Genomic DNA, 14,193 nt, shown 5'->3' with positions numbered 1-14,193 from the left:
CAAAGCCAATTTCTCGAGTTAGAACCATAGTACAGCAGGACTCCCATTAAGACCTCACTGTTCTAACCCCCCCAACTGGCACCAACAGCCACATATCTGTTTTTTACTTTATCACCAATTCCTGTTTTCAACGGGAGCTGATGCTCCATCAGCCCCATATGAAACCACAGAACAGAATCATGCAAGTGTTTTCTGAGTCAATTTTTTTCAAATTTTAATTCTCATAGACTCATGATCCCAACATATAAGTAAAAACTGAAAATCAAAAATATAATCCTATACGCTGGGGAGGGATATGAATGTCTGTCTGCTGCCATCATAGAAATGATAAAGATAGGCTGGTAAAAATGCGGCAATAAAAATATTCTTTACGTCAATGAACCTGAAAGGACGGCTCTTCTCCAGTCGTATAGAAGCTAGTCAAAGCAGAAATGATTTGCAGCATAATATAACCTGAGGCTTTCTCACCCATCCTTGTTGAGGTCCACCACCGCCACATCATAGCCAAATGAAGAGGCCAGACCTTCTCCATCGAATATGTGCTCAGGGAGGAGATGTGCAGACTTCATGTCTCTCTTCAGCAAAACCACGGCTCCACTGTGATTGGCTCTGGGAGCACCAGATACAAAAGTGATCTCATCTTTAGAAACAATACCTTTCCCTGAGTCCAAAGAAAAACCTAGAAAAACAAAATATATAGAGCCCCTCACATCAATCCATATATTTTAGGCCTATGACATTGGTAACTCCATCATTACCTCTTCCTCTGGCTTCCCACCCCTCTCTCCTCTTGACCCTCCCACCAGCTATCACATTCGTAATATGAGTGACAGAGTTCAGATGTGACACAAGGACAAAGTCCTGGGGCTAGCTAATTTACTGCTTTCTATGGATATTAAGACTTTTAACTAAAAGCACCTATGTATAACTTGAATTTTGAAGTATTCATACATCTTAAGAATCAATTTCCACCCTATTTTAATATTGGAACTATGGTAAAAGGAGATCAAGCTAGATACTGAATTGTCCAGGAATAATTTGGTTATGTTACATCATATACACAGAGAATATATAACCTGACTGGAAGCATAATTGAGTGCATGTTACAGGGTTCTGCTGTAATTTAATGACCAGTATTTTTACAGGAATAAAATAAAATTGAAGAAAAAGTAATTAAGCTTGGTAAGAGGCATCAACTCTTTGGTAATCAGACAAAAACAAATGCTAACATCATTAATACACCATAGATAGCATTTCATTGTTTTGGACCAACTTAGTTCTCAGACACAAACATGCAGACAAAACAATGACTGATGATACATGGTATTTGAGAACCTAGTATAAACAACAGAGGTGAGGAAGTTGTCATTGGTATCAGTTATATACTTGTTCAGAGGGCAGAAAACATTAGGACACACCCATTATAAAGCATCAGGTAGGATGTCAGATTACAAATAACAGATCTGGTGAAAAGCAAATAGAAGTGCCCATATCAAAACCATTCAAATTAAGTAAATGTTTCTATAGAAAGGTGAGGCAGATGCAGAATAATATAAGCTCACCCCCTTTATTGGGTTTTACTTATGAAAAGCTTCACCACTACCGTTGCAGTTCTCAAATTGTGAAGTGAATTGAAAAACATGAGCCACCAGATTAGAGGGCAATATGGAGTCCAGCTCTTACAACCATCTGGCCACAGAGCCCCAGCCATGGCATGCTTTTTGTGTGTGCTTCAATGGAAACAAAATAGGGCATAAAAAGATTTATGCTCTGTATGGATCAAAAAAAAAAATTTAATGACCACAACCAAGACAATTTATTTGTCGTCGCAGAGGTCACAAACCTAGGTAGCTATTCATCATCACATCAGGGAATGTGTCAGGCTGCTCCCGGGGAGGCCGTGTTTTATAAACAAACTGATCAGGATCTGTATAGGAAACGCTGGTCAAAAACAGCAGGCCTGTACGCATGCACGGGACGGAAGAAATTGAAGAAAAAGTAATTATGCTTGGTAAGAGGCAGGACAGCCACTGCTGTTCTCGCTGGATGAGGAGGCCACCACTGCATCCGGCAAGCTGCTCTCATTGCCAGCTTCCAAAACCTCAAGCAGATCGTTTTGTTCCCCCAAACCCTCTGATCTTTTGAAGTGACAGATTCCACACAGTACAGACAAACCGAATGTAACAATATGAATTTGATTTCTTTCTCAGGCATTCACTTTTGAGGAAATCCATTCTAAAAGTGGCAAATGTGTTTGAGAAAAAATGCTTCATATTTTCAAATGTTCTGACAGCAAGTAAATTTATAAAATCCACAGCCATCCATCTTAAAGACCAAAGTATTGGTTTCTTGGCCAGTGCAATTACAATCAAGTATTTTAATCATAAGTAATCCCTAAATGAAACATTCTGAGGTAAGGTCCTGCTCTGTTGCCCAGACTGGAGGGCAGTGCTGCAATCACAGCTTACTGCAACCTCAACCTCCCAGGCTCAAATGATTCTCCTACCTCAGGCTCCTGAGTAGCTGGGACTACAGATGTGTACCACCACGCCTGGCTAATATTTTTGTATTTTTAGTAGAGAAGGGGTTTTGCTGCATTGGCCAGGCTGGTCTTGAACTCCTGGCCTCAAGTAATCCGCCTGCCTCAGCCTCCCGAAGTGTTGGGATTATAGGCGTGAGCCACCAGGCCCGGCCTGAACAACTTATTAGTGCGTGTTTACTAGCACATTGCTTGAAATTATTCATGTATCTATACCTGTTTTTTCGTTTTTTACTTTCCATTCTTCCAGTAATATCCTAACATCTGGGTACTTTTCTTCACTTTCTTTTTTTTTTTTTAAACAGGTTACTATTTGGGTTTAGACTTTTTTTTACATTTTTTCCAAGAAATGCACAGTAATTATTCTTTTTGTCAACTCATACCAAGAATTAAAGCTTTTAAAAGCCTTTGTGTAATTACCATAATGTACATGAATAACTTAGGACACCCATTAGTCATGCAAACAAGCCTTAGGAGTTAAGAATTGGCCCTTAGACACAGTCTGGGTGTCCTGAAAGCCGTTTTAGCAGTCCTGCTCAACCTCCGCTGGGAAGCTTTTATCCATCTGTGGGGCCCTGTGACATGGGGTCCCAATCCAGAAGCAGGGCTAATCCTTGGAGAACCACAATCACAGAGGGAGGACCTGGAGGTCTTGACTTGCCACTTAAGAGTAACTTTATTAAATGCAGTTCTTAAGAGTATCTCTGGAAGGAGGCACTGAACAAAGATCTCAGCTTACTGTGAACACCCATGCATGTTTTCATGGCTGCATGAGCGGCCTGTTTCAGGTTACGGAGGCTGCCATTAGCTCAAGAGACAGACTTCTGAGCAGGAGGGAGGACGGATGATTTTAGGTGATAAGAGGTTTCTTCCCCCTTTGAGGGAGCCCCAGTCAGAAGGAAAGGATCCCAGGCATCAGTCGGTTTAACGCCTCTAGATCACCAAGCTTATCAAATTCCAGCAAAAGTGGCCCGGCCCCACCTGGCCTCTTCTCAGCCTAGAAGTCCAGGGGCCATAGGCCCTGCGAGGGAGTTTCACACAAGGTATCTGAGAAGGTGGGCAAAGGCAGCCATCTGTGCCTGCTCCTACCTAAGTAACTGTTAGCAGGAACAGGAACGAGACTTTCATCATGCTCAGTCTCTCCACCAACTTCATAAGGCCCATCTTCAAAGATGTTCATGTCAAAAAAAGTGTTATTCTTTTGCTCTACACGAACAATCCCTAAAGGAATGAAATGGTAAAAACAACAAAAAAATGAAGATGAAACAAAAGAAAATAAATGGTTCCTAATAAACATCCCCCATGCTATCACTAGTTACAGGAAAAAAAATTTGGAGGAAAAAAAGGAAGGACAGAGATGACTTTTATGGTTGTAAAATACATTTGTGTAAATTTTTATGGGAAAGAAATTTGTTTGAGTCATTAAAAACTGTCCCATGCATTTTCATGAACTATCTTTATAATGCCATGAAACTAGATGAAAAATGGAAGGTTTGCTTAGTTAACAAAATCTACAGAGAACCAATTTTTAAATGACATGAACTTGATATATATATTTTACATTCTCTGTAATCCTGCCTCAATTTGTCTTTTTTTTGCAGTGTAAAAGTGAGACATATTGATCTTTTCTTTAGATCACTTTAACCAAGATTTCATCTTTTAAAAATTCTTACAATTAGTAATTTAAAACATAAGTTTTCATATAGTAAGCCCAAATCACTATATGGCTTTAAATGGCGACATTTTAGGTCAGGTTTATAAAGCAGGTAAACCATATTTTCCATGAATTAAAATATACATAATTGGTGGATATTTTTGTTTTGTTTTACTATATAAAGCATTTATTCATGCTAAAATAAAACTAAATTCAACATGTTATTTCAGTTAGGTCAAAATAACCTGGGAAATACTGTACATGAAGATTCTGTTGGGGTGGAGGTGGGGGCAAAGGGAAATTACCCTTGAAGATTGCACACAGAGAAAGGTGTTCAAGAGTCATTTAGAACCACAATTAAAACAAATTGTTGAATGGAAAAGGGACCATTTTCCTAAGTTTTCCCTGATGAGTGAAAGTGTTATGTGACTTATTATTAATACATTTCTCAAAAATGGCTTATTTCCAAATCAGATGCAGTTCTCTTCATCATGGATGAGAGTTAGGTTGTCTTTTATGATATAGCATTTTCTATACATACACAGTCAAAAAATGTGGGCCATTTTCTTCTTTACCTCTCTACATCTCCATTTACTCACATCACAATAATCAAACGACTTTTCCTCACATATCTGAAATTATACCTCAAAATTCCCCAATTCGTCTGTAATCTGCCCTTCTAACTCTACTGAATTATTAGCAAAGCATGGCCTTTGAAAATAACATATACAGAGAGAAATGTCCATATTAATACTCTGTTATTAATGTCCATGTTAATACACTGTTATTTGTATATACCATTATTTAATCCTCCTAAGTTTTCAGATCACTAACTTAAAATTAACACTTCCAGCTTCATGAGTCGCACAAATCTAAAACAGCAAAAAATACTAATGTTAATTATTATATTCCTGCTAAAAAAAAGTTAACTACCTGAATTAAAGTAAAGTACTGGTAGAGGGGAAAAGAATGTCAACACCAAAACATATATTCCACTATTATTAGCTTTTAAAAATCATATCATTTAGAGATTTTTAATATCCTACCCAACTTTTATAATATACGAATGTCTTCTAACACATTTTAGCTCAAAATGTACTAAATCATATTACAGAAATTAGGGGAACTAATCTCTATTTCTATAAATACAAAGGTCATACCTTTCCAGTTATAAGTACCCGGGGCTCCAAATACAATGTAATGAAAGTCTTTAGTAAAAGTAGCTGCTACACCTTGCTGGCAAGAGCCAAATTTCTCATGGCCTCTCAATCGCCCATCACAAAAGCTCCAATCTCCCCCATCCATATCGTCTTCAATCCTGAGATTCTGACTCAGGACATAACACCGCCCAAAGATGTCTCGGGATTCCTGCTTCGTATTAACATGCTGCCTTTTTTCATATCGGTGAGCACATGTCTGCAAGCAGATGGAAGAAAGTAGCCCATTCTTGTCTATAAACCTTGTTTTTAAAAAATTACATATGAATAAAATGGTCAATACAGAGGTTAATTCTAAAGAGGATGATTAAGCATGTCCTCATCTTGGGACCGGATCCCAGACCAGCAAATATTCCCCAAAGTGGCACTAAGGAGACCATTATGAAGACATATAGAAACTAGAATGTGCCTTATTCTCACTCAGAATAATCCTCCAATCCAAAATTGAATGACAATCTGTATCCATAGGCAATTTATTTGTAAATTTACCTGTCACATAAACAAAGAGAAACACCTTATTTCATTTTCTTAATTCAAATTGGCTTTTAGTGGCTGTATAAACCTTCAGAACATCAGTGTGAAAGTGGGTAATTATGTTCTAGAGGAGAGAAATCATGGACCTGTTTTCATAGGGATCAAACAAACACAGCTAAAACAAAGACATTTCCTTTTCCCCACACTATTTCCTTGTAATCAGTCCTAACTTACACCCTGAGCTCTGAGATTATTTCCCAAAATATGCCTACTTTTAAAAGGCAGAGAGAATTACAAGGCCAGAAGAGACAGAAATAATCTCTATAATTTCTACAGGGTATGAATGGCTAACCTCCATGTAAACACAGCCTAAAAATACAGTATCAAATCAATTTTCCATAAATGTCATTCCTTAAATATCAAAACTCAATGTTCACTAAATTTTTTTTCTCAAAATTCTGTATAAATTTCGTTACAGCAACCAGATTTTGAAGGAGACAAAAAGATCATATTCCAACCAGGAAGGCCTTACCATGACCATCTAGCCCAATCCACCTAACAAACCCTCTTTTCTTTGCTATCCCTTCTATTTGAAAAAACTCAGAATAAATAACAAGAGGTTAAAACTACCTGGTTATTACTTTCTAAGACCATGCCCATATTTTTACTAACTTATCTATAAAGCTATAAAATTCCAAGGACAGAAATGATGTCTAGTTTTGTTTTGTTTTTAATACCATCTAGAGTTGTAGGAATATTTAGTAAAGGTTCTTTAATAAGTTATTTAAATCTGAAAGTTCTAAAGAAAAGTAGGTTGTGTGATTGCTTCTAAGTATATCAGGAATCACAGGAGAAATAAGGCTTTGATTACGTGATTACTTCTTCTTTTTTTTTCTTTTTTTTGAGATGGAGTTTTGCTCTTGCAACCTCCACCTCCCAGGTTCAAGCGATTCTCCTGTCTCAGTCTCCCAAGTAGCTGGGATTACAGGCGCATGCCACTACGCCCAGCTAATTTTTGTATTTTTAGTAGAGATGGGGTTTCATCATATTGGTCAGGCTGGTCTCAAACCCCTGACCTCAGGTGATCCGCCCGCCTTGGCCTCACAAAGTATTGAGATTACAGGCATGAGCCACCACGCCCAGTCTGATTTCTTTTTGACATCCATTCCTGCTTTAAAGCAGTAAGTTCGCTAGAATGTATGCTCCCTGCTGTCCCCTGCTGTAAGCCTGGTGCTGGCACATAACCAGCAGTCCAACAGTATAGGATGAACATGTGTCTCTACACTTACCACGACCTTGCCCCCTGGACCTTGGCTCTGGACGGTGACCCCCATCCACTGATCTTCCTTGCTTTCTGACGTGGGGTCAGCTGTAGAAAGGAGCATAGTTAGCCTTCCAAGTGACTGCACATGCTAGAAACCATCACTGAACAAAAATACAAGCAACTGTTTCCAAATGGCCTCGACTCTGAGTCTAGCTACTCAATAAATTCAGTTACTCAATCCAGAAAAATTACTTGTCATCTCAAGGAAACAGAGATGTGGTTTTTGGAATCTTTCAAACATTTGAAACATAAAGTACTTAGCTCTATATAGTTGCCTATTTTGTCCAACAATACCCTTTGCCCTCTCTTGATACCTAGGGTCCTGAATGCAGAAGGTAAGTGAAACTGTAAGACTAAGGGAGCCCTCCAAAATACATCTCTTAAGGCAACAATGTAAAATCTAGTATTCCAAACTGCAGCTACCATCCAAACTAACAAAAAAAATGGGTACTTCTCTATATACTCCCCAATTTTTTTATTTAACAGCATTAAATGTTCTCTTCTTTACTGGAGATGGAAGAAAAAGACTCAGATTTACTTTAGGATCTTGTAGCTGACAATGTATCAATGCCAAACAGGAGAGTTACTGTTAGTCAGAGAGACGGGGACCACAAACACCACCAGGTGCTCATTTCAGTATCAATTTAAACCCACTGTGTGACCTATATCCAAATTTTGCACTCCTCCATAAGTAGCAATACAGACACAGGTTTTAATCTTGAATCATTACAAAAACATTAAACAACTTTAGACAGAAGGAAAAATGCCAAAATGTTAAAAAATAAGTCTAGATACTGAGATTGCCAGTGGGTTTTTTTATTCTTCATAGGTCTGTGTATTTTACCAGCTTCTTAAAATTAACACATATTAGTTTCTAATAAAAGAACACATGTTATTTCTTTTCTTGAGATGGTATCTTGCTCTGTCACCCAGGCTGGAGTGTAGTGGCACGATTTTGGCTCACTGCAGCCTCTGCCTCCCAGGTTCAAACAATTCTCACGCCTCAGCCTCCTAAGTAGCTAGGACTACAGGCGTACACCACCACGCCTGGCTAATTTTTGTATTTTTAGTAGAGATGGGGTTTCACCATGTTGGCCAGGCTGGTCTTGAACTCCTGACCTCAAATGATCCACCCAACTCGGCCTCCCAAAATGCTAGGATTACAGGTGTGAGCCACCGACGCCTGGCCAACAAATGTTATTTCTAAAAGATGAAGAAGCAAGAGAAGAACATAGACACGAATCTGCAAATCTACTTAGACCGAACATATCAAACGAGGTTTGGCTAGAGCTTCTCAGTACACTAATTGCTCTGCTCAACCTACAAGAAGCCAGGTACACTGGATGTCAACATGCCTACCTCATGGTATCTTCTACCTATCCAGAGCCCTTAACAAAACAAGTCTCTATCTGAGACAGGAGGGAAAACTTTATCTCTGTTAGCCAGCTCTCATTCCAAAGGGGTCTGATATTTAAAACTGTCTTTCTCCCAAATATTTTAACAGCATGTGAGAACTTTTGGCTGATGAATACAAGATACGCTCATTCATTCTCTTCATTGCTATGAAATGAGTTTTTCCACAACCTCCTGCAGAACCTCAACACATCACTAGGTGGCAACATCCCTACACCATATCGGTTTAGAAACCACGGTTAGGAGGAGCAGCAAAACACGCGGCATCCCAGTATGATTCAGAAGTAAAGTAAGTAAATATTTTCAGGGCAAATAAAAAACAGTCAAGTCTGATGCAATTAAAAGAAGTCCTCTCTACAAGAATAAATGTTTGTCCCCACTCTCCTCCCTCATGGAAACAGTACAGGCAAGCTGCCGGAGTGAACGCTGAGTGAGGGAAAGGAACGCACCATCGTTATCAAACTCGATCCGCGTGCATGGCCCCCGGGCGGTGATGTCGCAGCTGTACAGCCCTCCCGTTCTGTTGGCTCTCTGCAGTGGAAGCGCTTCTGCCCGCGGGGCCCCCACGAGCAACCTGTTGATGAAACAGAGACAATTTGGAGATTTGAATTTAATATACGTTTAACAGTTAAATCAGTCAGAACTAGGAGATAGTGGGATTATTCTTTGTCTAGGAGTCCACTAATTCTTCAACAGCTTAGGCAGTGAGTGAGAACAAATGTAGAGTCCTATGGCTGGTTCATGCAAAACGCACAAACACAACTAAACAGGGGAAGCCAAAGAGGGGATACCAAAACGAGGAAAATAGGCCTGTCTCTCATAGTATCAGCATTTCTTGCTGGGTATGATCTGGTGTTTAAAAGACACCCTCTTCAAAGAATACAACCTCTAAGCCCCTATGATGCCAGGGATATCATATGAAACTCAAGAGAAGAAACCAAATACTTGTGACAATGGAAGGAAAAAATGGCCACACTAAATGTAATAAGCAATAATATGTCAGTTTCTAACACTGTGCCTTCCTGAGGTAGTTTTCAAGGGTAATTCTGACTATATCTTAGATTTTCAGTTTATATACTAATTGAGAGAACCTAATGGTAAGTAAGATACAACTCGACTGAATTATTCACTTGCAGCCTTGGCCTCTTTCCAATTCTTTTTTTTTTTTCCCTCCAGTTTTATTAGGGTAGAATGGACAAATAAAAAGCAGATATATTTGAGGTGTACAAGTTGATGTTTGTTCTTCCAAGTCAGTTCTTACTTCCTTGCACTTTTGTCACATTACAAGAGTTCGTCCTCTCTCATCCTATCAGTCTCCCACAAAGGATTCAGGGACAACTGGTGTAGCTCCACTTATGTACTAGGCACTGTAATATTCCTTCTTCTCCCCAGCCGAGTGTTTTTATCTCCTATAAGGAGGCCCCCAGTCCAAATCCACAGTCCTTAAAATTTCACCATCTCACAGCTTGACAGGCTCTTTAGAGATCCAATGACCTTGTTGCTAGGTCTCTTTTGCTAACACCTTTACTCACCATCAGGTTTACAATCTTTGAGGCCTGGCTGACTCATGGAACAACTAGGACAAGAAACAAAGACAAAGAACACACACCTGACTGGACAGAGATAAACCAAGAGCTGAGAGTTTTGGAAACAAGGCTGGAGCTGAGGAAAAGGACTGGGAACACGAACCTGTACAAACAACAAATTCTTACAACAGAAAACAAGCCACTCCTGGCCATCAAGAAACCCACAAATCTCAGAAGCAAAAGCAAAACAAATGAAAATACAAACCAAATAGTCTCTATTACCTTCATGCCTGTTGGGTCCCAATAAAGGAATCATTCCAATAAAGGATTCAACATATTTTTTTTAAACCAATATCATGCAGCAGGTGCCACCGGAGGCAAGTGTACCTGGAAAGCAGGGAGGGGGGCCAGATGATGCCCAGACAGAGAAGGAGGGGTGGCTCATGGATAACACATAGCCCCAGCACTGTCCTTCCTCCCAGATCCCTGGACAGTCACAGTCAGCCCCCACCTCCAAACCCACCCTACATTTGAAGGAACAAAACAGCACACACCAAGGTACAGAACTGACACACAGACTTTTAAATTAGGAACTGGAGCAGTGTCCTTGGTGCCTGAACCTTCTTGACAGAGGACAGAGGCAAGGCCGGGGCCACAAGGGTCCCCACAGGTCTGCTCCACTCCTATTCCAGTGATGTCCCCGATCCCAGGAATGCCAACAAACAAGTACCTGGGAGGTGAACTGCCTAGACTATAAGGTGAATGTGTTAAATTACTGTACTTGGCAGATGTCAGAGGTGGAGTCATGTGGAGGGTGCTGGAAGGGATAAGTGGGGTGCCAGGATCAGAGGCCCAGAACCCCAGGACTTTCACACTGGAAGCCCCTGAGAGAGACCAGTCCTCCAGTTTTACAGATAAAGAAACAGAGGCCTTGAGGAGCTTAATTACTCATCCCCCAAGATCTCACAGCTAGTGGGTGGCCATGACAAAAATTATCTTGGTGCAATGTTGTCTCCATTTCTTTACAAAGCTGCTTAGGAAGTAAAACCCAGGATTTCAAGTTTACAACCTAGTTGAAAGGGCAAAACTTACACAAATAAAACATCACAACCAAAACTGTTCTGTATGCTGATAAAAGTTAAGATAATAGAGCCAAGTAGAGGGGAAGGAAGAAAAGCATTATTGCAGTTGGGTGGAGTGAAGGCTGGGTAAGAGATTTCCTGTAAAGGTAACCACCAGCAAAGAGAAGCCTAGAAAAAGCAGCACAGGAGTCCCATTGTCTTAACTGTGTGTCTTCCTAACCACTTCCTCTTCTCACCCACACCCAAGGTGGCTACTAAGTTACCTAAGGCAGGCACAGGGCTTATTTCCTGTTTATCCCATTCCCACATTCGTTCACCTATTCACTCAACAAACGCTGATTAAGAGCCTCCTAGGATGAATAAGGAATTGCCCCCACTCCTCAATCTCTGGCCTGGGGAAGCCTGATCCGTGAACAGGTCATGAGGTCATGAAACCACAGGGAGCTAGAGGCAATGAGAGGATGGTACAGAGTGCTGTGGGCACCAGCACCTGCTGGAGAGGAAGGGAGGATGTCACTAAGAGATGACAGCGGGACTGGAGGTGGCCAGGTAAGGAACACAGCATATGCAAAGGCTGCAAGGGAAGGAGCCAGAGAAAAGGGAGAAGAGGGACACAATGGGTGACAAGAAGGGGTCGAGGATCAGCAGCCTGGTCAGCAGCGCTAAAGGACGAAGGGTCAGAGACCCTCTGAACCCCAGGCTTCTGTAGCCTGCTGTGTCCTGCAGGGTACAGCTGCTTTTGGGTGTCCTGTGGTTTAAAAAGCTGTGGAGGTTGTCCCATTTACATGCCCAGTCCCTCAGAGTGGGTTGGCTTCCCTCAGCCTCTATCTGCCACTTGTTCTCCACTCTCTGTAACTAATACGTGTGGGACAAAGAATAGGCATTTAACTCGAATTTGTTGGCTGGTTACAGGGGCTGTGGTGACAAAATTTCACAAATGCCCACACCAAGCTCTTGCAGAAGAGGTCCTCGTGTCTTACATGCGGCGGCTACTGCAGATGACAGCAGACCACATGGCAGGATGGGGGCAGCAGGCTGGTTTGGGGAAAAAGGACAACAGATTCGAAAAGAGACCTGCAAACGACAAGAGAAATGTACCCACAGAGAATAACGTTAGCTGTTGCACCGCCTCTGGGCGAGCTCAGCCTGCACATGGTCCTGGCACTGTCCTTCCTCCACCTCAGGTGGTCCCACAGGGGATGGAGGAAGCAGGAGTGTTCCACCGCCCCTTGCAAATCCCCTGGGCAGCCGTGGGAGGAAGAGCTGACACCCAGCAGCAGAGGGCGCCCCTGCTCCAGTTGCGCCCGGTCTCCTGGGACCCACCGCGATAAGGTGGCAGAACCCATCACCGAAAGGTAAGGTAAAGCTACACCTTGATGAGAGAACACAGTAACCCCAACCACATTCAGCAACTGGAGGCGCCTTCATCCTCAAGGTAAAGCTGCCCTCCCTGGTTTGGGAAACAAGCAAAGGCTCTTAATTCGCCTGGAACCAGCCTTAAAGGCAGGAGATCACAGCCCATTAGCTGAGGCTGTGCCTAGCAGGAACAATAAATAAGGTAAATAGAGCTGTGTCCAAACAATGACAGCAGAGAACAACCTATCTACTTCCTAATCTAGGTCATTTAGGGTCTGGGTGCTGGTCTAAGCTGTTCAGGACATGGTTGGCTCCTGAGCTAGCAGAGTGGGTACAGGTCCAGGAGGGACAGTCTACACCTAGGAGGACCCTCAGCCCACACAAAATCCAATTTATGCTCAAATTCCAGCTTTCTTCCCTTTCCCTCCAAGGCCCTTAAATGCCAAAAACTGGGCCCAGGCCACCCAGATGGTTCAGTGTGAAAAGCAGGTACTCTCTGGGCACTACCAGGATGCTCACAGCAACTCCTAGGACCAGGGCAGCTGCAGCACTCATTACTGACCATCCCAGTACGTTTGAAGGAGGAAAGAGCTATGTGACAACTCGACCTTCAGAGCCACAGGGACCAAGGGATATGAGTTAGGGCCTTTGTAGGGAGGTGATAGAAATTAACAGAGCAGAGCCTGAGAGGTCTATTCCCATATGCGGTCAAGGCAAGAAAAACTAAACAAAGGGCAAGAATCTGGGTGTGAACTAAGATCATTTCAAAACCGGCCAGTGGACAATGACCTCCACTGAATTTTAAAGCTGCACCGAAATAAAAACTGCCTTGGGATTTCAGCATATCAGAAACCCACACTTAAAAGGCAAAACTCAAAACCACAAAATCATCTTTAACGATAAGAAATAAACACTGAGATACTAAAATGGAATGTAAAAATCTAACGATATAAGTATAACAGTAACTGGGAATATGATATAAATTCAGGTCTTTGGAGTCTAATCAGAGCTCTGGGCACAGAGACTCAGGACTCACTATCATGCTATGAACACAAGGTTATTTCAAAATTCTTCAAGTAAGCCACATCCGTTTCATATATTCAAGTTCTCCCCCAAAGAGAGCTGGTATACTTTTGCATAAATACTTCAAATCAAAAGTTCTAAACACTGGGACACTTTTAAAACTCCAAGAACAATGGCAGCTTTGCTTCACTGTCTTTGGCAATAATTCATTTCCTCAAGGATTAAAGATTCTGCCCCTAGCTATGCAAGCTGGTCAGAGGAAACATGAAATATTGCACCATTAGAACAAGAACACTATTATTGCTTAATTTAAAACACAGCCTGCTTAGTTTGTCCAAATTAAGACCTAAAAAGTTAGAAAGTAGCATTATGTGGCAATTGTGTCACCTTTACATTTAACCCATTTTCAAACTCAGAATTTAATTTTTGCTAAAGTAATAAGTACAAATGATAGGAAATCAAAAAATAAAAGACTTAACGGTAGAAAGCAACAGATTCCAAACTCATCCCAAGCCCCACACTCCGGACAAACCTCTTACTTTTCATTCTGGATTTACTTCTCCATAATTCTGGATTATTATATAT

The 14,193-nt window shown here is 41.3% G+C and overlaps 1 protein-coding gene and 2 long non-coding RNA genes across 18 annotated transcripts in view, besides 1 other annotated feature; 2 read left to right on the top strand and 1 right to left on the bottom strand.

Moving 5' to 3' along the window:
• The window catches only part of PDK1-AS1 (PDK1 and ITGA6 antisense RNA 1), a 92,199-nt gene extending 81,731 nt beyond the window's left edge, over positions 1–10,468 (top strand). For 3 of the 7 annotated variants that reach the window (NR_199651.1, NR_199657.1, NR_199652.1), the window contains one exon: positions 10,160–10,468. This is a non-coding gene — a long non-coding RNA (PDK1 and ITGA6 antisense RNA 1). Of the gene's footprint in view, positions 1–8,712 lie in introns of all 7 variants that reach the window. The other 4 variants (NR_199654.1, NR_199656.1, NR_199653.1 and 1 more) reach the window with 2 other exon arrangements.
• The window catches only part of ITGA6 (integrin subunit alpha 6), a 79,124-nt gene that overhangs the window by 31,726 nt on the left and 33,205 nt on the right, over positions 1–14,193 (bottom strand). For 8 of the 10 annotated variants that reach the window (XM_017004005.2, XM_017004006.2, XM_047444221.1 and 5 more), the window contains exons 2-6: positions 9,071–9,195; positions 7,174–7,253; positions 5,354–5,609; positions 3,629–3,760; positions 469–679 (exon numbers count right to left, since the gene is read on the bottom strand). In XM_017004005.2, coding sequence (XP_016859494.1) covers positions 469–679; positions 3,629–3,760; positions 5,354–5,609; positions 7,174–7,218 — 644 coding nt within the window. In that variant the 5' untranslated portion in view covers positions 7,219–7,253; positions 9,071–9,195. Of the gene's footprint in view, positions 1–468; positions 680–1,843; positions 1,961–3,628; positions 3,761–5,353; positions 5,610–7,173; positions 7,254–9,070; positions 9,196–14,193 lie in introns of all 10 variants that reach the window. The other 2 variants (NM_001394928.1, NM_001316306.2) reach the window with 2 other exon arrangements.
• Positions 8,302–8,471: an enhancer, noted in NCBI's record as "experimental_56026 CRE fragment used in MPRA reporter constructs". NCBI's record gives its function as "activates a minimal promoter by MPRAs in K562 erythroleukemia cells, with activity observed for both the introgressed and non-introgressed 2:173331076 variant alleles {active_cell/tissue: K562}" and the evidence as "EXISTENCE:reporter gene assay evidence [ECO:0000049][PMID:34662402]".
• ITGA6-AS1 (ITGA6 and PDK1 antisense RNA 1) lies at positions 8,712–10,472 on the top strand. The gene is made up of 2 exons (NR_157573.1): positions 8,712–8,910; positions 10,160–10,472. It is a non-coding gene; the product is annotated as an ITGA6 and PDK1 antisense RNA 1 (long non-coding RNA).

Source organism: Homo sapiens, chromosome 2 (genome assembly GCF_000001405.40).
Source record: "Homo sapiens chromosome 2, GRCh38.p14 Primary Assembly".
Taxonomy (NCBI): Eukaryota; Metazoa; Chordata; class Mammalia; order Primates; family Hominidae; genus Homo; species Homo sapiens.
The sequence above is the reverse complement of the archived record's forward strand: the minus strand, read 5'-3'. Positions and strand labels throughout refer to the sequence as shown.